Here is a 21822-nt window from a genome sequence, read left to right on the forward strand (position 1 = left end):
CTTATGAGGTAGAGTAGTTAAACTCAGAAAGTAGAATGGATGCTATGGGCTGGAGGGAGAGGGAACTGGCAGCTATAATTTAATAGGTACAGAGTTTCAGTCTTTCAATATGAAAAATGTTCCAGGGATGAATGGTGGCAATGGTAGAACAATGCAAATGTACTTAGTGTCACTGAACACTATACTTAAAATTTTCTTTTGAGAAGCATCTGTTCATGTCCTTTGCTCATATTTTTGACTAGATGTTTGTTGTTTAAGTTCCTTGTAGATTCTGGATATTAGACCTTTGTCAAATGCATAGTTTGAATATTTTCTCCTATTTTGTAGGCTGTTTACTCTGTTGGTAATTTCTTTTCTCTCTTTTTTTTTTTTTTTTTTTTTTTTTTTGAGATCGAGTCTCGCTCTGTCACCCAGGCTGGAGTGCAGTGGCGTGCTCTTGGCTTACTGTAACCTCTGCCTCCTGGGTTCAAGTGATTCTCCTGCCTCAGCCTCCTGAGTAGCTGGGATTACAGGTGTGTACCACCATGCCCAGCTAATTTTTGTATTTTTAGTAGACACAGGGTTTCACCATGTTGGTCAGGCTGGTCTCAAACTCCTGTCATTGTAATCTACCTGTCTTGGCCTCCCAAAGTGCTGGGATTAAAGGTGTGAGCCACTGTGCCTGGACGAATTTTTTTTTTTTTTTTTTTTTTTTTGCTGTGCAGAAGGTCTTTAATTAGGTCCCACTTGCCAATTTTTGTTTTGTTGCAATTGCTTTTGGGGACATAGTCATAAATTCTTTGCCAAAGCCTATGTTGAGAAGGGCATTTCCTAGGTTTTCTCCCAGGATTTATAGTTTGAGGTCTTGTGTTAAATCTCTGATCCATCTTAAGTTGATTTTTGTATACAGTGAGAGGTAGGGGTCCAGTTTCATTCTTTGTCATATGGCTAGCCAGTTTTCCCAGAACCATTTACCAAATAGGGAGTCCTTTCCTGCATTGTTTTTGATTTTGTCAAATACCAGGTGGCAGTAAGTATGTGGGTTTATTTCTAGGTTCTCTATTCTGGTCAACTGGTTTATGTGTCTTTTGTACAAGAACCATGCTGTTTTGATTACTGTAGTTTTATAGTATAGTGTGAAGTTGGGCAATGTGATGCCTCTGGCTTTGTTCTTTCTGCTTAGGATTGCTTTGGCTATTTGAGCTGTTTTTGAGTCCAGGGGAATTTTAGGATTGGTTTTTCTAATTCTCTGGAAACCGTCATTGATATTTTGATAGGGATTTTGTTGAATCTGTAAGTTGCTTTGGACAGCATGGCCATTTTAACTATTAATTCTTCTAATCTGTGAGCATGAAATATTTTTCCATTTATTTACGTCATCTGATTTTTTTCAGCAGTGTTTTGTAGTTCTCCTTGTAGAGATCTTTCACCAACTTGGTTAGATGAATGCCTAGGTATTTCATTTTCTTTGTGGCTATTGTAAATGAGATTGTGTTCTTGATTGTTTCTCAGCTAGAACGTTGTGTGTATAAATGTTGATTTTTGTATATCGATGTAGAAGACATAGAATCCAACAAACGTGTACAAAAGTGTTTAACATAACTAATCAGAGAAATGCAAATCAAAACCACAATGAGATACTATCTCACACTAGTCAGAATGGCGATTAAAAAAACACTGGCAAGGCTGCAGAGAAAAGGGAGTGCTTATAAACTGTTGGTAGGAATGAAAACTAGTTCAGCCACTGTGGAAAACAATTTGGATATTTCTTTTAAGAACTTAAAATAGAACTACCATTGGACCCAGCAATCCTGCTACTGGGCATATATCCAAAGGAAAATAATTCATTCTATCAAAAAGACACACACACCCGTATGTTCACTGCAGCACTGTTTACAATAGCAAAGACATGGAATCAAACTTAGTTGCCCATCACAGTGGATTGGATAAATAAAATGTGGTACATATACACATTGGAATACTATGCAGCCATAAAAAATGAAATCATGTCTTCTGCAGCAATATGGATGGAGCTGGAGGCCATTATCCTAAGTTGACCAAATGTAAGAACAGAAAATGAAATACTACATGTTCTCACTTATAAGTGGGAGCTAAACATTGAATACACATGAACATAAAGATGGGAACAATAGACACTGGGGACCACTAGTTGGGGAAGGCAAACGGGGTTTTGTGCTGAAGAACCACCTGTTGGGAACTATGCTTACTGCCTCGGTGATGGGATCATTAGAACCACAAGCCTCAGTGTCACACAATTTACTCATGTAACAAGTTGTCATGTGTACCCTTTAATCTATAACAGTTGAAACTTTAAAAACTTAACATTTTAACCACTTTTGCATTATATATATTTCACCACAATTAAAGTTTTAAAAGTTTAAAAATAAAAGCAGATTCAGGACATTTCATGAAGTAAAAGTTTTATGAAAAATGTTTATATATGTATTTGTCCTGTTTTAGCACATATAGAGTGGTAGTTAAGGAGTTTAAGGAAGGGACTCTTCAGAGAAATCTGCAGGATTAAATGAACTGCTAGGTATCATCCATTCATTCTTCCAAATCCACTTTCCACCTAGCTTTTGTCTGCCTTATATCCCAAAAATTGATCAGTAGGGATGACATCAGTCTATCTTCCAGCTCTGGGTAAGCTTGGCCAGTGGAAACTCTGTTCATGATTTTTACATGTTAAGTTATGTCACTGGCCTTTGTAATATTGATGTTTAAGCTCTTTATATAAGTAGATAGCCTAAGGAAGTAAATTCCTATGTGTGGAACTTCAGATATGATAGGGCAAAGGTGCTGTGGGAGAGGAATAGATTGCTCTGCAAGATCAGTACAATTTCTCCACAGGCACACAGACTTCCCTGCCCCCACCCTCTTCGCCCTCTTCCACCTCCCTCCAATCCACCCCAGCAGATCTACTTGGTATAAACTTGCATAGATCTTATGATATTTTTGTGATGGGATGGAAAAACTGGAAAGTGTACATATTTGGCTTGGAGTCCAGAGATCCCGTTTTGATTTGTCTTCTAACTAGGTAACCTTGGGAGAGCTATTATGTCTCTTGTAAGTGGCTGAAAATGCCTACTTACATAGGTTATGGGGAAGCTTTCACAGTATGTGAAAGAATCCAGCAGTGTCTAGTTAAGAAGAAGCATAATAGATGCTAAAGGTGGAAGGAGGACAAAGGGAATCATCTACAGCATTCTCATTCCTCAAGAACCAAGGAAATATATTTCACTTCCTCCAAAAGACTTCTCCAGAATCTCCTTTTGACTTAGATGCAAGAGATAATTCCAAGCTAAGCATAATCAAATGCTGCTCTTGCTAATGTAATACTAATTTTATTCTATGAATAGCATTTTTCAGTTTTTGTAAACATTTCCATGCTGTTAGCACCCTTGACCCTTCCGTTTGCCCTTTATGCCTCATTACAACAGTCATTGTTTATTTCAGGGTCTCCTTCTCCTCATTTTAACTGTAGTAGCCTCCTCACTCTGTCTTCCTGTCTCTAGCTCAGCTTGACTAGCTTCACAACTCCTCCACAGTCTCTAGAAGGAATTGTAACTTCCTATCATGGGAACCCAAGGTCTGTCACAAAAACCTTTTTTTCATTTGCTGAAACCCTTGTATCTGTTATAACTGCTGGAGAATATGACCTTTGCCTTGTTTCTGCCTTCCAACTCTCACATGAGTGCGTCTAATTGATGCAAAACTCTGGGGGCAAGGGAATTTGGGAAGTGTAGTTCCTAGGCTTTCAATCCCTATGATAAAGGGGAAGGCAGAGAGAAGAAGATAGAAATGTGTGCTTGAATGCAACCAAAGCCCCATATTACCTGGCTGCCCCTTCCTGATGACTGGGCCCCAACATCTTCAGCCTCTCCTCTCACTCATTATTTGCTCTAGTCTCACTGAACATCTGGCTCTTTCCTGGGATGTATCCTAGCTTGTGCTTTTTCATTGGTGACCCTTTCTTCCTGCAATTGGCCTAGCTCATGTTCACCCCTCCTTTAGGCATTAATTCATACCTCACCTTCTTATAGAAGCTGTCCTGATCACCCTGTCTGGTTGGGTGCACTTTGCCCATGCTTCCATGTCACCATATATTCACATCATGCCTTATACTCATCTGTTTACTTGTCTGAACTCCCCAGAGGCTGCAGCTTCTAGAAGTTAGGGATTATATTTCAGTCTTGGTATCTATAACACAATGTCTTTTATTTAGTGCTTATTTATCCACAGGAAAGAAAAGACATTCAGCAAATAATTATATCACACATACCCACAAGCCAGAAACCATAATTGTCTTATCCATATTTTTATACCCATAAATTATCTACTTCTAAGATTCACTAGGAGACAAGCAAGTAATGCTCAACCAAAAAGAGAAAAGGCTAGAGTTGGTGTGAGGATTGGGGGCAAATGTGCCACAGATAAGCATGAGAAGCTGCAAACAACCATGATGTAAAGTCTTCATTTATTTGAAGAAGATCATTGTGATACTTTCTGCCACCAATTATCTTTCCTCTTCCAATTAATGAGTGAAATGGTCATCTATGGAGCCAGGTTTGTACCCCATTCCACTTCAGTATAATCCTTCCTGCTTCTACCACCAGAAGCAGGGTGGTTATCAGAGACCTCAAACTTCTCTTCTGTATCCTTACAAGGAGAAATTCATCTACAAACTGCTTCCACCCCCAGCCATGAGCCAGGCCATTAAAGCACAGGACACAACTCCCCTGGGTTGACCAGCCCTTCAGGAAACCCCTGCCTCCTTGAGCCTGAAAGCCTTGGGATTTCTGGCCCTGTCAAGGTTAATTAGGGACTCCTGTACAAACGAAGCCTGCAGTCTATCAAATGTGCAGACGTATGTGGTTGGCAGTGAGTGGGGCTATGGCTTAGCAAGTACTGGAGTCTCATTATGGAGACACATGATCCTTGTGTGCTTTGCTAGGAGAAAACCAGACCCTATCTTTTTTCTCCCCTTTTCCCTGTGTTTCCAATTGGTCTGCAGCCCTGAGATTGCTCATAGGGAGAGAAAGGTGAAAGTACATAAAAATTTGATTTTCTTAGATGCAGAATTGTATGTCCAGTTAATGTTTAAAACTTTTAAGGCTTTGGTCTCAGAGACCTAGGCTGGGAGCAGGAGACATTTATTCAGGTCTTTACACATAAACATGTTTCAGCTCATTCCCCTGCTCTGTGAAGAACACAAGTTGGTTCTTAACCTTTTCTCTCATCGCAGATCCCTTTGGAAATCTAAAGAAGCCATGGATCCTCAGGAAGTGAATAAGTGCAACTTATGTCTTAGCCACATTAAAACTTCGTTTTTATCTCACTATTCCTTTACAGTATAAATCACTGGGGACATTTTCCCCCTGTACATAGATGTAAATCCTAACAGATTCTATTTCCCAGGATGTAAGTCCTAACAGATTCCTTCACACCTGAATATTATGCCTGTAGTCACTTTATGTTAAAGCATAGGTTTCATTTAGAAGTCAGAATATCCAAGATATTAACCTTAACTCCAAACTTTATTTATAGTGTGTTCTTTCTCAGTTTGGGCCTGCTTGTTTGGAAGGCTCAAAAAGGGAAGGAGGGAAGTAAGGTGATAGGAAAGTTCTTACTGGAGCTGGCCTTATGTTCTAGTTGTGGAAGATGTTTGGAGTAGACTCCTTTCCTTGTCCTTGGAGCTTTGGAGCTTCTTGCTGGGCACCACCTGAGTCTACAGTATTTGTGATGTGGGCCAGGAACATTCTCTTTACATGGCTTCTGGGAGCCTCTTAAGGTCTAGATTTTAGATCCTTGCTCTCAAATTTTCTAGACCTGTGGCAGAAGCTCTTGGGCAGGTGATATGGTTTGGCTGTGTCCCCACCCAAATCTCACTTTGAATGGTAATAATGCCCACACATCAAGGCAGGGCCAGGTGGAGATAATTGAATCATGGGGGTTGTTTCTCCCATACTGTTCTCATGGTAGTGAATAAGCCTCATGAGATCTGATGGTTTTGTAAGTGGGAGTTGCCTTGCACAAACTCTTGCCTGCCACCATGTAAGATGAGCCTTTGCTTCTCCTTTGCCTTCCACCGTGATCGTGAGGCCTTCCCAGCTATGTGGAACTGTGAGTCTATTAAACCTCTTTCCTTTATGAATTACCCAGCCTTGGGTGTGTCTTTGTTAGCAGCGTGAGAACAGACTAATACAGCAGGTTTCATACCACCTTTGAGCATCAGTCTCCCTCCTACTTCTGGCCCCAGGAAACTCTTCCATATCTCTAGTCTCAACAGAGTCTGGGGGGTGCAGATTGACCTTAGAGTAGTCTCTGTCCCTGTACCACAGGTAGCTTCAGCTTTCCCAAGAGCAAGCCCTGCATTAGTCTTATGTCTCCCCACATCTTTCAATGGTACGATGGAAGCTTCCTTGACATTAGGCTGAAAGTGAAGCAATTAGCATCCCCCACAACCCTCCCCTGACTCTTTTGGATGGAGGTAGAATCTCCAAGACAGTAACTGCTCTCTTCGTACATCCTTTGTTTTCTCTACATTCTTATCCTTTCTTATTCTCTTGATCTGCCCTGGATCCCAAGAGTCCTGGATCTGGTTCTCTGAGTTTCTTTTGGTATCTGTTATCTGAAACGTGGGATTACAAAGGACATGAAAGATAGACTATCACATTGGTGTTTCAATAAAAATAAAAGAGTCCCAACATCCTAAACAATATATACATACTTTTCACATGGTTTCAGGGATTTAAGCCAATGAATAGAAGCCAGGGCAAGAGTGCTTAGGTTAGACTCATTGATTCAGTTTTTATTAAGTTCCGGCTACATCCTATATCTTATATTAATTGGACATCAACTAATCCAATAGGGATACAGGGAGTAAATATGTTTGGGCCCTTACCTTTTAAAATATGTAAACCAGTTATCAGAGTATTCTGTGATAAATGCTATAACGGAATAGGGAGGTGTGGGGGAAAGCATTGGTGTCAATTAAGGAAATAAAGAAAAGTCTCAGAAGAGATGATACTTTAAAGGAGACTCAAGGTAGAAAAAATGGGGTAGAGGTGGTTGAGGGCACCCCAAAGGAAAGGATCACCACACATAAAAGTGGATAATTGTAACAGGATAGAGAAAGCAGTGTTCCCAGGGGCACCTGATGGAAGATGAGTTTAGAAAAGGTAGCAGGGGTGTGGGGCCTTGATTGCCTCACTCAGGAGGTCCTCTAAACATTCTTCCAAGTCTCCAAGTCTCCATGTTGCTCATCAGGATTAACTCCAGATGAGTGAAATAGGCAGGAAGCCATGGTGGAGCATCTTTAGTAATTGAGGCATGAGATTTTGACAGCCTGGATGAAGGTTGGGGAGCAATGGTGGAAGAGGTAGAATTAGTAAAACTTGAATGTAGCAGAAGGGAGAGGAAAAGTCTAATATGACTAAGGTTCATGGCTTAGGAAATAGAGTGGCTATTTTCAGAGGGAAAAAGAACACAGGTGGAAGCAGTGCAAGATGGTGAAATAGAAAGTTCTGGCCGGGCACGGTGGCTCACACCTGTAATCCCAGCATTTTGGGAGGCCGAGGTGGGCAGATCATGAGGTTAGGAGATCGAGACCATCCTGGCTAACACGATGAAACCCCATCTCTACTAAAAATACAAAAAATTAGGCGAGCGTGGTGGCAGGTGCCTGTAGTCCCAGCTACTCAGGAGTCTGAGGCAGGAGAATGGCATGAACCTGGGAGGCAGAGCTTGCAGTGAGCAGAGAGCACACCACTGCACTGCAGCCTGGGTGACTGAGTGAGACTCCATCTCAAAACAAAACAAAACAAAACAAAAAAATAAATAAAAAGAAAGTTTCACCAAACATCCCCTGCCCCACAAGGACACCAAGTTAACAGCTCTCTACACAGAAAAAGACATCTTTATAAAGAACCAAGGGTCAGCTGAGCCCTCTGAGTACCTGGTTTTATTTCATATTGCTGAAAGAGGCACTGAAGAGTTGGAGAAACAGTCCTAAATCACCATCACCACCTCTCCCCTAGCCCCAGCAACACCTATGTGGATTGTCAGTGCTGAGGGAGGGAGAACACAGCAAAATAAATTGCTGAGGGAGGGAGAACACAGTAATTGTGAGGCAATGAACTCAGTGATGTTCTGTTAGAGCAGAAAGGAAACCTGGACAAAACTCAGCTGATCCACACCCATGAAGGAAGCATTTAAACCACCCCTAGCCAGAGGAGAATCCCCGATCCCAGCAGTCTGAACTTGAATTCCCACAAACCTTACCACCAAGGTCCTAAGTGGTCTTGGTCTTCAAGTAATCTTGAAAGGCAGTCTAGGCCATAATGACTGCAACCTCTAGGCAAGTCCTAGAGCTGAACTAGGTCCAGAGACAGTGTTCTCGGGGGTACACTACCTACTGAGACACCAGCTGGGGCAGTAGAGGGAGTGCTAGCATCACCCCTTCCCTAATCCCAGGCTGTACAGCTCACAGCTCCAAAAGAGACCCCCTTCCTTCCACTTGAGAAGGAAGAATGGGAAGGACTTTATCTTGTACTTTGGATACCAGCTCAGCCATAGAAGGATGATAGGGCACCAGAGTCAAGAGGCCCCTTTTCTAGGCCTTAGCCCCCCAGACAACATTTCTAGAGACACACCCTGGGCCAGAAGAGAACCAGCTGCCTTGAAGGAAAGAACAGTCCTGCCAGCATTAATCACCAGCTAAAGTGCTGAAGGAAAAACCTTTTACCCTAGAGTAGTACATCCGCAAAAATATTCTTCAAACATGGAGAAATAAAGACTTTCCCAGACTAATAAAACCCAAGGTATTTCATCATCCTATACCAGACCCATCCTATAAGAAATGCTAAAGGGAGGCCGGGCGTGGTGGCTCATGCCTGTAATCCCAGCACTTTGGGAGGCCGAGGCGGGCGGATCACGAGGTCAGGAGATCGAGACCATCCCAGCTAAAAACGGTGAAACCCCATCTCTACTAAAAATACAAAAAATTAGCCGGGCGTATTGGCGGGTGCCTGTAGTCCCAGCTACTTGGGAGGCTGAGGCAGGAGAATGGCGTGAACCCGGGAGGCGGAGCTTGCAGTGAGCTGAGATCCCGCCACTGCACTCCAGCCTGGGCGACAGAGCGAGACTCCGTCTCAAAAAAAAAAAAAAAAAAAAAAAGAAATGCTAAAGGGAGTACTTCAGTCAGAAAGAAAAAGACATTAATGAACAATAAATAATCACCTGAAGGTATAAAACTTACTGGTAATAGTAAGTACACAGAAAAACACTATATTATAAACACTAACTGTGTATAAACTACTCTTATCCTAAGTAGAAAGACTAATGAATTGATCAAAAATAATAATGACAACAACTTCAAGAAACAGTACAATAAGTACAAACAAAAACAAAAAGTTCAAAAGTGAGGGGCAAACTTAAGATGCATTTTTAGTTCTCTTTTTGCTTGCATGTTTATGCCAGCCTTGTGGCGACCTCAAACCAAAAAACATGCAACAGATACACAAAAAAAAATAAGGAAGAAACTAAATTATATCAGAGAAAATCATCTTCACTAGAGGGAGACAGGAAGGAAAGAAATACCATAGAACAACCAGAAAATAACAAAATGACAGGAGTCTTTATCAATAATGACATTGAATGTAAGTGAACTAAACTCTCCAGTCAAGAGACAGACTGGCTAAATGGATGAAAAAAGAAGACTCATTGATCTGTTGCCTACAAGAAACCCACTTCACCTATAAAGACACACATAGCTTGAAATTAAAAAGATAGAAAATATCTCATGCCGACAAAAACAAAAATAAAACCAGGAGTCACTATCCTTACATCAGACAAAATAGATTTCAAGACAAATACTATAGGAGACAAAGAAGGTCACTATATAATGATAAAGGGGTCAATTCAGCAAAAGGATGTAACAATTTTAAATATATATGCACTCAAAATAATGGGAGTACCTAGATATATAAGGGAAATATTAGAGCTAGAAAGATAGACCTTAATAGAGTAATAGCTGGGAGACTTCAACACCGTACTTTCAGCATTAGACAGATATTCCAGACAGAAAATCAGAGACTTAATCTGCATTATAGACCAAATGGATCTGATATTTACAAAACATTTCATCCAAGAGCTGCAAAGTACACATTCATTTCCTCAGCACACAGATCATTCTCAAGGATAGACCATATGTTAGGTCACAAAACAAGTCTCAAAACATTCAGAAAATTGAAATAATATCAAGCATCTTATCTGACCACAATGAAATAAAACTGAAAACAAGAGGAATTTGGGAAACTATACAAATACATAGAAATTAAACAATGTTTCTCATGAAAAGTGGGTCAATGAAGAAGTTAAAGAAACTGAAAACCTTCCTAAAACAAGTGATAATGGAAACAACATGCCAAAACCTGTGGGATACAGCAAAAGCAGTAATCAGAGGGAAGTTTATAGCTATAAGTCCCTACATCTAAAAGAGGAAAAACTTTAAATGTTACATCCTGAACGAGAAAAGCGAGAGCAAACCAAACCCAAAATTAGAAGAAACAAAGACTAGAGCAGAAATAAGTGAAAAAAATACAAAAGATCAATGAAATAAAAAGTTGGTTTTCTGAAAAGTTAAATAAAAACAAACCTTTGGCCAGACTAAGAAAAAAAGAAGATCTAAATAAATAAAATCAGAAATGAAAAAGGAGACATTACAACTCATACTACAGAAATTCAAAGGATCATTAGTGGCTGCCATGAGCAACTATCTGCCAATAAATTGGAAAATCTGAAGAAGTTGATGAATTCCTAGATATGTATGACCTACCAAGATTGAACCAGGAAGAAATTCAAAACCTGAACAGACTAATAACAAGTAACGAGATCAAAGCTGCAATAAAACATCTTCCAGTAAAGAAAAGCCCAGGACCTGATGGCTTATTGCTGAATTCTACCAAACATTTAAAGAATAACTAATATCAATTCTACTCAAACATATTCCAAGAAATAGAGGAGGGGAGAATACTTCCAAACTCATTCTATGAGGCTAGTGGTGCCAAAACCAGAGAAATACACATCAACAGAAGAAAACTACAGGCTAATAACTGTTGAATATTGATGCAAAAATCCTAAGAATATATATTAGCAAACAATTTCAACAATACATTAGAAAGACCATTCATCATGACCATGTGAGATTTATCTCTGGGATGTAAGATGGTTCAAGATATGCAAAAATAAATAAAATATATATCAACAGAAAGAATGATAAAAACCATACAACCATTCCAGTTGATGCTGAAAAAGCATTTGATAAGATTTAACAGCCCTTCATAATAAAAACCCCAAAGAAACTGGGTATAGAAGGAACCTACCTCAACATAATAAAAGTCATATGACAGACCCACAGCTAGTATCCTACTGAATGGGAAGAACTGAAAGCCTTTTCTCTAAAATCTGGAACACAACAAGGATGTCCACCGTCACCACTGTTATTCAACATATTCCTAGAAGTCCTAGCTAGAGCAATCAGACAAGAGAAAGACATAAAGGACATCGAAATTGGAAAGGAAGAAGTCAAATTATCCTTGTTTGCTGATGAAAAACCTAAAGACTTCACAAGAAAACTATTATGACTGATAAATCTAGTAAAGTTGCAAGATGTAAAAACCCACATACAAAAATCAGTAGCATTTTTATATGCCAACAGTGAACAATGTAAAAAAAATTTAAAAAGCAATTGCATTTATTATAGCTACTTATAAGATTAAATACCTGGAAATTATGTTAACCAAATAAGTGAAAAATCTCTATAATGAAAACTACGAAACACTGATGAAAATTTAAAGAGGACACAAAAAATGGCAAAATACTCTGTGCATGGATTTCAAGAATCAATAGTTAAAATGTCCATACTTCCCAAAGCAATCTACAGATTCAATTCAATCCCTATCAAAATACCAATGACATTCTTCATGAAAAAAGAAAAAAAATTCCTAAGATTTATGTGGAATCACAAAAGGCCCAGAATAGCCAAAGCTATCATAAGCAAAAAGGACAAAACTGGAGGAACCGCATTACTTGACTTCAAAATTATACCACAGAGTTTAGTAAACAAAACAGCATGGTAGTGGCATAAAAACAGACACATAGACCAATGGATCGGAATAGAGAGCCCAGAAACAATTCTACACACCTATGGTAAACTCATTTTTGATAAAGGTGCCAAGAATATATCCTGGGGAAAAGACAGTCTCTTCGATAAATGGTGCTGGGAAAACTGGATATCCATATGCAAAATAATGGAACTAGACCCCTATCTCTCACCATATACAAAAATCAAATCAAAATGGGTTACATACTTAAATCTAAGACCTCAGACTATGAAACTCCTACAGACTATGAAAACACTGGGGAAAATCTCCAGGACACTGGTCAGGGCAAAGACTTCTTGAGCACTATCCCACAAAGCACAGACAACCAAGCAAACATGGACAAATGGGATCACATTAAGTTAAAAAGCTTCTGCATAGCAAATGATACAATCAAAGTAAAGAGACAACCCACAGAATGAGAAAATATAGTTGCAAACTACTACTCTGACAAGAGATTAATAACCAAGATATATAAGGAATTCAAACTCTAGAAAAAAAGCTAATCTGATCAGAAGATGGGCAAAAGATTTGAATTAGACATTTCTCAAAAGACAAATGTCAAACAGGCATAGAAAAAGGTGCTCAACATCATTGATTAGAGAAATTTAAATGAAAACCATAATGAGATGTCATCTCACCCCAGTTACAATGGCTTATATCCAAAAGAAAGGCAGTAACAAATGCTGGTGAGGATGTGTAGAAAAGGGAATCCTTGTATACTATTAGTGGAATGTAAGTTAGTACAACCACTATGGAAAGCAGTTTAGAGGCTCCTCAAAAAACTAAAAGTTTAACTATCATGTGATCTAGCAATCTTACTGCTGGTTATATACCCCAAAGGAGGGAAATCAGTATAGAGTATAGATAAGAGAAGCTATGAGCATTGGTCAGAGGAGCCATATCAAGAATTAGCTTCAAAGAGTAAACCCGTTGTAAGAATAGGAATTGAATTAAAGTGCTGGGGCTGACACATCAGCCTAAGGACCCTGACCAGACCAGCAACTATGGTTCCTATGCCTATCAAATCTCTCCAATAATCTTTATGTATGAGAAAAAAAAGACTTTCATTTGGTTTTTATGCATCACCTCTACTCCTGCCCACAAATAATTCATGGGGCATCCCTGTCAATTGTCTATCCTCCCTTACTTCCAATGGCAGAGGCACCTGCTTCTGGATTCTGCCCTTTGCTTTATAGATAGCTCTCTCTGACTGCTATGTTTTATTTCAATATTGAGTGTATCTGATGTTTATAAAATACTGCTCAGTGAATGGCAAAAATAAAGAAGCACTGTCTATGCTTTTTTATGTACACAAACATTAGGAAAAGTTAAATGTATGATTCTATAAAGTTTCAAGAGATTCTTTGATTACTCTTTGCTTATTGAAACTGTTGGTTTCAATAAAAAAAAATAAGCATTTTTTTCCAGTCTTTGGAAGAGGCTGTGACTCTGAGTCATTGCAGAGTTACTCTGTGAGAACCAAGCAGTTCATCATAATTTCAGGATATTGAAGACAAGTCAGAGATAAGAGTCAAAAAAGAGGTAAATGGACTGCAAATATTACCTAGGGGGCAAAGGGAGTGACCAAGGAGGTGAAACCAAGGCCAGTTGTCAAGGGTCAGTGGTTACAGGTCATATCCTAAGTCAGGAGGCATTGCATCATAGTTGAAAAATGAAACCTCAAGGCAGTAAGGACTTGGCTGATATTAGGGTCACCAGATGCCAAGGTGGCTAAGAGTTGTAACAAAAGTTAACAAGTTATGGACAAAAGTTAACTTAAGAATGTTAATTGTGGAGCACTTTAGAATAGTGTCAAGAGTAAGACTTGAGTATCTGACGAATTTCTCCCAAGCACCAGAATCACACATACAGCCACAGACTCAATATCTCCACTTTATTGTCTCCCACCTCGTACATGGCCAAACCCAGGGCCATAGGCATAAGCTAAGGGAAACATGCTGCTGCATAAGTGGTGGGTCTGAGCTACCTGTTTATTAGCTTGTTTGAGACTTCCAGTTCCGCCCATGTTTGATCTTTAATGTACCATTTCAATCTTTTGATGGAGTGTTGCTGGGCCCATCTGACCTTATGACTTGGTGGGTCTGGCAGGATTCAGCTCATGATGGGGAGTGTGGGGGTATTATAACATTCAATTTGGTGGTGGTAGTTGAGAGCAGTTTGAAGGACTAACTGGTGATAGTACAAAAATACCCAGTCTCTCTTCTGTTTCTACTTCTATCAAAGAAAACATTTTTCAAGCTATGAAATAGTTATGAGGGCATAAACAAAGTTAGGGAAAAGATCAACTAAATTATAAACTATAAAGTTATCTCTACTTTTTCTAGGCTCAGAAGAGCACATCTGAAAGTAATTTTTCAGAACTTGTAGGTTTGACATAAGGATACTTCTGTTAATCAGAGAAAGAATAGGTTGCAAGAGTTGAAAATATGCAACTTTTGTAAAAGGATAAGGTAGAGTTTTGAAAGTTATAGGTCAGTGAGCTTAATGTCAACTCCTAGTAAATTTTAGAAAAGATTACTAAGCATGTGGAGAAGTAATAAAGAAGAAAGAACTATCTATGAGGAACTACTATGTTAAATACCTTACTACATGAATTCCTTTTAAAAAGGAAGTTTTAAATTGGTAAAATAAAAAGTTGTACAGTTATCCATTAGAGATGATATGGCATTGCTCAAAAAAGCTAACATAGGCCTGGGGATAACAGTGAATGTACATTGTCCATTTCAGGGGCCCGTGTTGTGATTGTCATCCTAGGACTTACCATAAATTCCACACACATTTTTCCCCAGTGGAAACTTCTATCATAGGGTTTGCCAGATCATATGGCCCAAGCAACAGGGCTGATTGCGTCATGGCCTGGACAAGCATCTGTTTGTTTTTGGTTTTTTTTTTCCTGCTCTGGGTCTGGTCAAGGCTGTCAGGCTTTCGCATCACCTGGGACATAAGCCAGAGCAGCTTCCCTGTGTGTGGGATCAGCTTCCTCCAGAACCTGAGGCCCATCAGGCATTGTGCTTCCTCCTTTGTGGCAGGAGATATAAGTGGCAGTGATTTGTTTTTTTTACTTTAGGGGAAATTTGAGAATACCTTTGACCATTGGACCTCTAAATATTTTATGGATATGGCAAACCTTTTAATATTCTGGAGTATATGTGTCTTACCAAGGCTGCCAGTATGCGGGCTAACTTACTCATCTGGATCAATCAACAGAAGTTCATTGATGTAATAGATCATTGTAATGTTCTACAGGGTATCCAGATGGTCCAGATAACTTTAAACTTATGAGATAAGGCAGAAAAGTTAACTTAGGCCTGGGGATAACAGTGAATGTATATTGCTCATTCCATCTGGCTAACAGGACAGCCGCCATTGCATGTTTTAGTGATACTAGTGTTCTACTCACTGGCACATTTTCTACTGCCTTCATAAAATTGCCCTCAGCATCTTCCTATGGGACACATCTGTTGGGTCTTCCAGTCATACATTATATACCCTTCAGCAAGTCTGTTTCTAAGCTTTTTAATACCTTCTTTTGCCACTTAAGCACAGCATTTTTTTTTTTGCATTTAAGCTTCGCTGAGTATGAGCTACAACGTCCATGCTTCTAGAAGCCATCATAATAGCAGATTCATACCATTTCCTGAGATCCTTGGCAGGCTGTTAAGTCCTGCCATTGTAGGAGATTGTGCCCAAATAAACTTTTCTTTATTTGCCCTCTTTGATCAACCATGTCAGAAGTCAGTTCTCCGTGTATTCTATCCTTTTCTGGTAACATATTGGCTAGGAGAAGGCTTCCTATCCATGTTTCCAGATATGACTAGGCTTAGTTACAGCATAATCTAAGCTTGGTCACCAGGAGGATAGAAGAGGTGCAGTTAGGTCACAAAATCTCTGCAATTCTTACAGCACTTTATTTGGCAAAGGGATGGGTGCTAATTCTTAGTAAACAAGGGAAGGCCTCATATGCAAGCACAGAAGATTCACATAGGTTAGGGGACCAAAATCTTCAGAGGTATCAACCCAAATGCATCTATATTCCATGTATTATGTTCAAGATTATAAATATCAAATGGGATCATAAATACGATGGGGAAAAATAAGGGGCACCTGGGACAGTTGCCACAATGATAAACATTTCTGCAGTCTCCTTATTTGTTGTGGGTATGTGTGTTTGTAAAATGATATTGGTCAGAGAAGATCAGGCCACTGAGCAAATAGATCAGGCCACTGAGCAAATAGATCAGGCCAGTGAGCAAAATAGTCACTGTTCTAGAATCAAAGCATTATCCCCCTTTTTCCCCATGCTGCTCCTGAACTTCCAGGCACTGGACTCTGTCTGCCTAGATCTATAGCCCACTTCTCCCTGCCTTACATAGCAATCATCCAGGGGCTTGTCTCTCAGGTTGACTGCAAGACTGCTCCCAGTCCTGATCCCTGTTGGCTAGCTCTGTCTAGATGCTTTCACATCAGGGTGACAGATGTACAGATTAACCTATGCTATTGCTACCACTGCTGGTAAGGAGTGTCTGCAGAAGAGACTTTGACTTAGTGCAGCTAATCAGGTCTCATCACCACCACTGACTACCCAGGTGTTCTCATGGAAGTTATCAAACCTCTTATAACACCTCAGTTAAACAGGAATACAATCCCCACAAACAGTAAATGTATTCAACACAAGAATAGGTGAAATTATATTTCTATGACGTGTAGATTCTATGTACTGCTCAATGTCACAATAGATGACACACATTGATTAGGATGAGTTTGACAGTTTTTCCAGTTGGCTATATTAGAGATGTAGCAGTAAAGGAACCATAAGGCATAGTCCAACTTGGGGCTTGGGCCAGCTGAAGAATGAGGGAATGGCAGTGGTTCCTGGAAGCTTCAAGGAGAGATTGTAGAGAAGGAGTTAGATTAAGTACACGGAACGTCACTCCCCCTTTTCTCCTGTCTGGTCCCCCATTGGCTGAACTCAGCCAGATGTCAAAGAGCAGGGGAACACACTGATGTAGTTCATATAAGCCAGTCTCTCGGGCAGAGAGCAAAACAGGAAGGCTGGGGAGTGGATCCGAAAGGGCAAACAGAAGCTGCTTTGCACAGTTGCAGCTTGGGTAGAAGAAAATGGCAACTGTATGTTAGAATTAATTCAACTAAAACTCTGGTTGCTAATAGATGTGTCAACCATTTAACAGTCCAAAATAAGAACAGAGAATATTTTCTAAAGATTTAGTATCCCCTAAACATTGGGCATTATGTTAAATGGAAACTCCTATTAGGTCACCAATCTCTCAACAGCTTTTATGTTATAGGTATTAGCCTTTCTCATTCTCACTTGAGAGACTCAGTGGCTTGTCCAGGTCATGTAGCTAAACAGTAAGCCAACTCAGACCCAGATTCTGTCTGACTCCACAACCTATGCTCTCTCCATTATAACACGAAACCTCATTAAGATGTAAATACATACAAAACTGGCCCTTTAAAAGATAAACAGCCCTATTGGGCAAGCTTGTTTGGAATTGGGAAGGTTAACAGAGGTAACTTCAACATGTGGGAAACAAGCTGATGAGAAAGGAAATCCTGTTCTTGTCTTGGCCCTATAAAGAAAACACTGAGCAAAATGCTGACACAGCTAACCTCCCAGAAAACCCCACAGACTGACTTCTGCCTAACAGAGCCTGGATTCATGTGGTCAAGTGCAGTTTGTAGTGGGTTATGTGGTTGTTTCCCTAGGTCACATGAAACTGAACCACATGAAGTCACCAACACCCTATTCTCTTCTGTACTGACAATTTTCCCTTTGATTCACCTTCCTAAATTTCCACTTATGTTATAGGTTACCAGCCACACAAGCAGGCTCACAGTAAAAACTATACGATAGCCAAGGGCAAAATGAGAAAGATACATTTTTGTTGAGTATAGTTTGTCAGGAAATACGCTGGGCACTTTTTACATTAAACAAACACTCAACTCTTTCTACGTACAACCACTTCAATCTTTAAGCTCTGTTGGCTTCATTTTACATAAGATGTAACTCAGAGGTTTAAGTGATTTGCTTAAAGTCACACACAGGGCCTAAAAAAATGTGTGGATAGAATTTTTACCCAGTTCTTCTAGAAACTTTAGACCTCTAGCCTGAGGTTAAAGATTCTGTGCTAACACTTTGCTGGGGAATAAAATTCCAAGGAAACAGGAGTTGGAGGCAAGGGAAGAGACAAGGAAAAAGGAATGGGGGAAGGGGAGAGGAGATCATTGTAACCATGCATTCTGGGTTACCACAGCTTGGCAACAAGCCAATTACCTAGTCTTGCTGGGCACCTTTAGAGAAACCCTATGAAGCTGCTATGTCTCCAGACTGTCTCTTCAAGAATTTGTTCACCACCTCACACTGGACAGATATGGCTCCACTGGACACTTCTAGGTTGTTCAACTGAGGAAGTTAGTTCATCTGAACTGTGATATGAAAACCCCAGGGCAGAAGGCAAGGGGCGGTGGTATGGGCCTCAGGTAGGCACTGACAAGGCACACCCTTGAGGGACCCAAGGGATTAGGAGCAATCGACTCTGCTCCTAGTAGTGTCTGCAAGCACCTGTTAATAGCAACACTGGAAGCTGCAGAGATGGGGGTCCAAGATCATGCCAATAATGCCAGCCCTCTCTAGAGCTGAGCTAGTCAGAAAGCTGGGTGAGGGCAGACCCTGTAGGGGCCATAATCTAAATCTCCCACAATTGAGGGACACAGATCTGTTTTTCCTTCTTACCCTTGAATGATTCCCAAAATGTTTTAACCAAAAAGTCAATATGGAAAGGACGAGTTGATTGGAACATTATAAACATCATTTAGGTTCTGAAGGTCAGGTGCCATTTCTTAATACCCAATGTTTTCCTTGGGAAAATTTCAAAACTATGAAAGCTAATTATTCTCATTGTAGAAACTCTAGAGAATGTTTGGAAGATATATAAAAGTATTAGGAAGAAACAAATCACTTGTATAATACTTAGAAATAGCCATTGATAGTATTATATACATGTCCACATAAAGGAAGGCATCCTATAAATGTTAAGCAAAAAAGGAATTAAAATTGCATATGAACAGTGTATCATCTCATTTTAAGGTATTTTTTATTGTGGCAAAATGTGTGTAAATTTCCCTTTTAACTATGAAGAGCACAATTTGGTAGCAGTAACACCCCTTCAACTATTACCTATCCCCATTGTGTGGGGCACAGGTGGGAGTCCAACAGCATATCTCTGGGAAATTCCATGCCTATGATAGCTGCAAAAAGGCTAAGTTCAGCAACCAAAGCCTTATAAGAATAAAGTGATGAGGGCTCAGGGATGCAGAGCCAGCAGCTAGGAGTCTGCTGAGGTGTACTACAAGGTTCAAGAATTGTGGAAGGGACATAGCATCTGCTGTGCTTCTGTGGTATCCCCAAAGAATAAACCACAGATCAGAGGTCCATAAGGCTCCAGGTTTAGTGCCTACCATGGGAAGAAAGGTCTTTTCCTGTAACATAGTCATCTGCCCCCATGATAAAGCCCACAGCCCCCAGATTCCCTTCTGAAATAGCCCTAGGTCTTTAGATAAAGAGAATCTGGATTGCTCTACTAAGTAAGAACCCCAGGCCTCCCCAGGCACAAGCTGAACAGGAGGGAAACAAGGATGGGTAGAGTGGAGGGAGGTGTTGACTGTCAGTTACAACCTGGGGACTACCTGTAATAGAGGAGACTGGATCTTGATTAATCCACCTGTACTAAGTCTTGTGGTGATTGCAGTGAGTAACCTCAAAGGCTGAAATGGAGTAGAAATAGTGATGGGCATGACTGGTAGAAAGGACGGACGGTATTAGATGTTTCTTGCTCTGCCTCCTGTCTTCTTGGCTTTCCTTTCATTTCACCCATTAACTCTCAACACCTCCTGTTTCCTGCTTTCTGCCCTAGGTCTTCCCTGGCACCTCAGAGTTAGGTCGATGGGTACTCACTCAATGCTCATGCTTAGGCTGACCTGGACATAGAGAGGGGTGATACCCATGAGTAACTCTTCACCAATGAGGAATGGAGTCAGTGGTTATATCCTCCCTTGCCCCCCAGTTCCACCTACTAAGTGGATAATTCTGAGGCACATTCTATACAGCTCCTCAGAGGCCCAGTGGGATTGAGCCCTGGCTGTTCAGTGATGAAATGGATGGTGCATCCTTGCATTGGCTTTCCTCTTTTTCTGTCTTACTGTTTCTATCTCCACAACTCCTCTCTTTCTTGAAATAACTTTCCCAAATAAATTGCATGCTAGCAAGCCCTTATCTGAGTCTGTGCTTTCTAGGAGAACTCAGGCTAAGATAAGTAGTATGTATCCAACTCTGAATATCATAAGCCTTTCTGTATCAGTATAAAGTACATAAACATTTCTAATGGCTGTAACATAAGGCAGACTCTCAAGCCACACTGCCTGTCAGATGACTTCTTAAGTAACCTTGGACAAATCATTTAACTTTTTAATGTCAGTCTTTTTTTTTTTTGAGATGGAGTTTCACTCTTGCTGCCCAGGCTGGAGTGCAATGGCGCTATCTCAGCTCACTGCAACCTCCGCCTCCCAGGTACAAGTGATTCTCTTGTCTCAGCCTTCCAAGTAGCTCTGATTACAGGCATGCGTCATCACTCCCAGTTAATTTTTTTGTATTTAGTGGAGATGGGGATTCACCATGTTAGTCAGGCTGGTCATGAACTCCTGACCTCAGGTGATCCACCCGCCTCGGCCTCCCAAATGCTGGGATTATAGGCATGAGCCACCGCTCCCAGCTGGTGTCAGTTTTCTTACATATAAAATGGATCATAGTAATAATCCTCATGCAGTTTGAGAGAATGTTAATTCAGATTAAGTGCTTTAATCTTTGCCTGGCACAGAATTGCTAACACTTACATTGTGTTTTCTATTATTTTTATTATAGCAAATTGGCTAAATACAGTTTTTCTACTCTTTCCACAATTTTTTCACAGTGAAGCAAAGCACTGGGTGAACCATATTGGCATGAATTTGGTCTGCCAATAATGTTCGCTGAGTGAACAAATCATATCTGAAATGCAGACATGATTTACACAGTATTTCCTTAGGATAGATTTCTAGAAGTAGGATTTCTGGGTCCAAATACCTCACGACTGTTGTTACTGTAAGCACTTAACACCCTTTCTTGTAATGGCCTATTTTTGTCTGTGATCCATAAGATGAAAGTTCTTCAGGTAGGAGCCAGGCCTTTTTGTTCTTCATTGAATGCTTAGTACTTGACAAATTAAGGACCCCTTCTTTGTGCCAGACCTAATATTAAATGAATAAACACACAGAAGGTATTATATATATATATTTCTAAAGAGTTTTCAAAAATAGATGGCATATCTTTAATATATTTTTAGTAAGCTTGTAAAGTATAATAAAAATCTAAGTAGATTGATGAAGACATGTGGGACATTTAGTTAGAAACTCATACAAGACAGACATAGGATCTGAGTTTCCAAGAGCTGACACTCAGAATGTATTACTGTAATATAAACTTACTCATCTACCCCATTTAAAAACGTAAACAGGTTTCATTTTGCAACTGTGTCAATACCATGGGGCAGAAATGGATCCCATAAGAAAACAAACATTTGGC

General features: G+C 40.1%; 1 long non-coding RNA gene across 1 annotated transcript in view, besides 2 other annotated features; it reads right to left on the reverse strand.

Annotated features, from left to right (window-relative positions):
- LOC105378740 (uncharacterized) overlaps nt 1-21822 on the reverse strand; it is a 71267-nt gene that overhangs the window by 15098 nt on the left and 34347 nt on the right. The gene's annotated exons all lie outside the window — the stretch shown is intronic.
- Nucleotides 6683-6852: an enhancer, noted in NCBI's record as "experimental_8557 CRE fragment used in MPRA reporter constructs". NCBI's record gives its function as "activates a minimal promoter by MPRAs in K562 erythroleukemia cells, with activity observed for the non-introgressed 1:56271199 variant allele {active_cell/tissue: K562}" and the evidence as "EXISTENCE:reporter gene assay evidence [ECO:0000049][PMID:34662402]".
- Nucleotides 16489-16658: an enhancer, noted in NCBI's record as "experimental_8565 CRE fragment used in MPRA reporter constructs". NCBI's record gives its function as "activates a minimal promoter by MPRAs in K562 erythroleukemia cells, with activity observed for the non-introgressed 1:56281005 variant allele {active_cell/tissue: K562}" and the evidence as "EXISTENCE:reporter gene assay evidence [ECO:0000049][PMID:34662402]".

Source organism: Homo sapiens, chromosome 1 (genome assembly GCF_000001405.40).
Source record: "Homo sapiens chromosome 1, GRCh38.p14 Primary Assembly".
Lineage (NCBI taxonomy): Eukaryota > Metazoa > Chordata > Mammalia > Primates > Hominidae > Homo > Homo sapiens.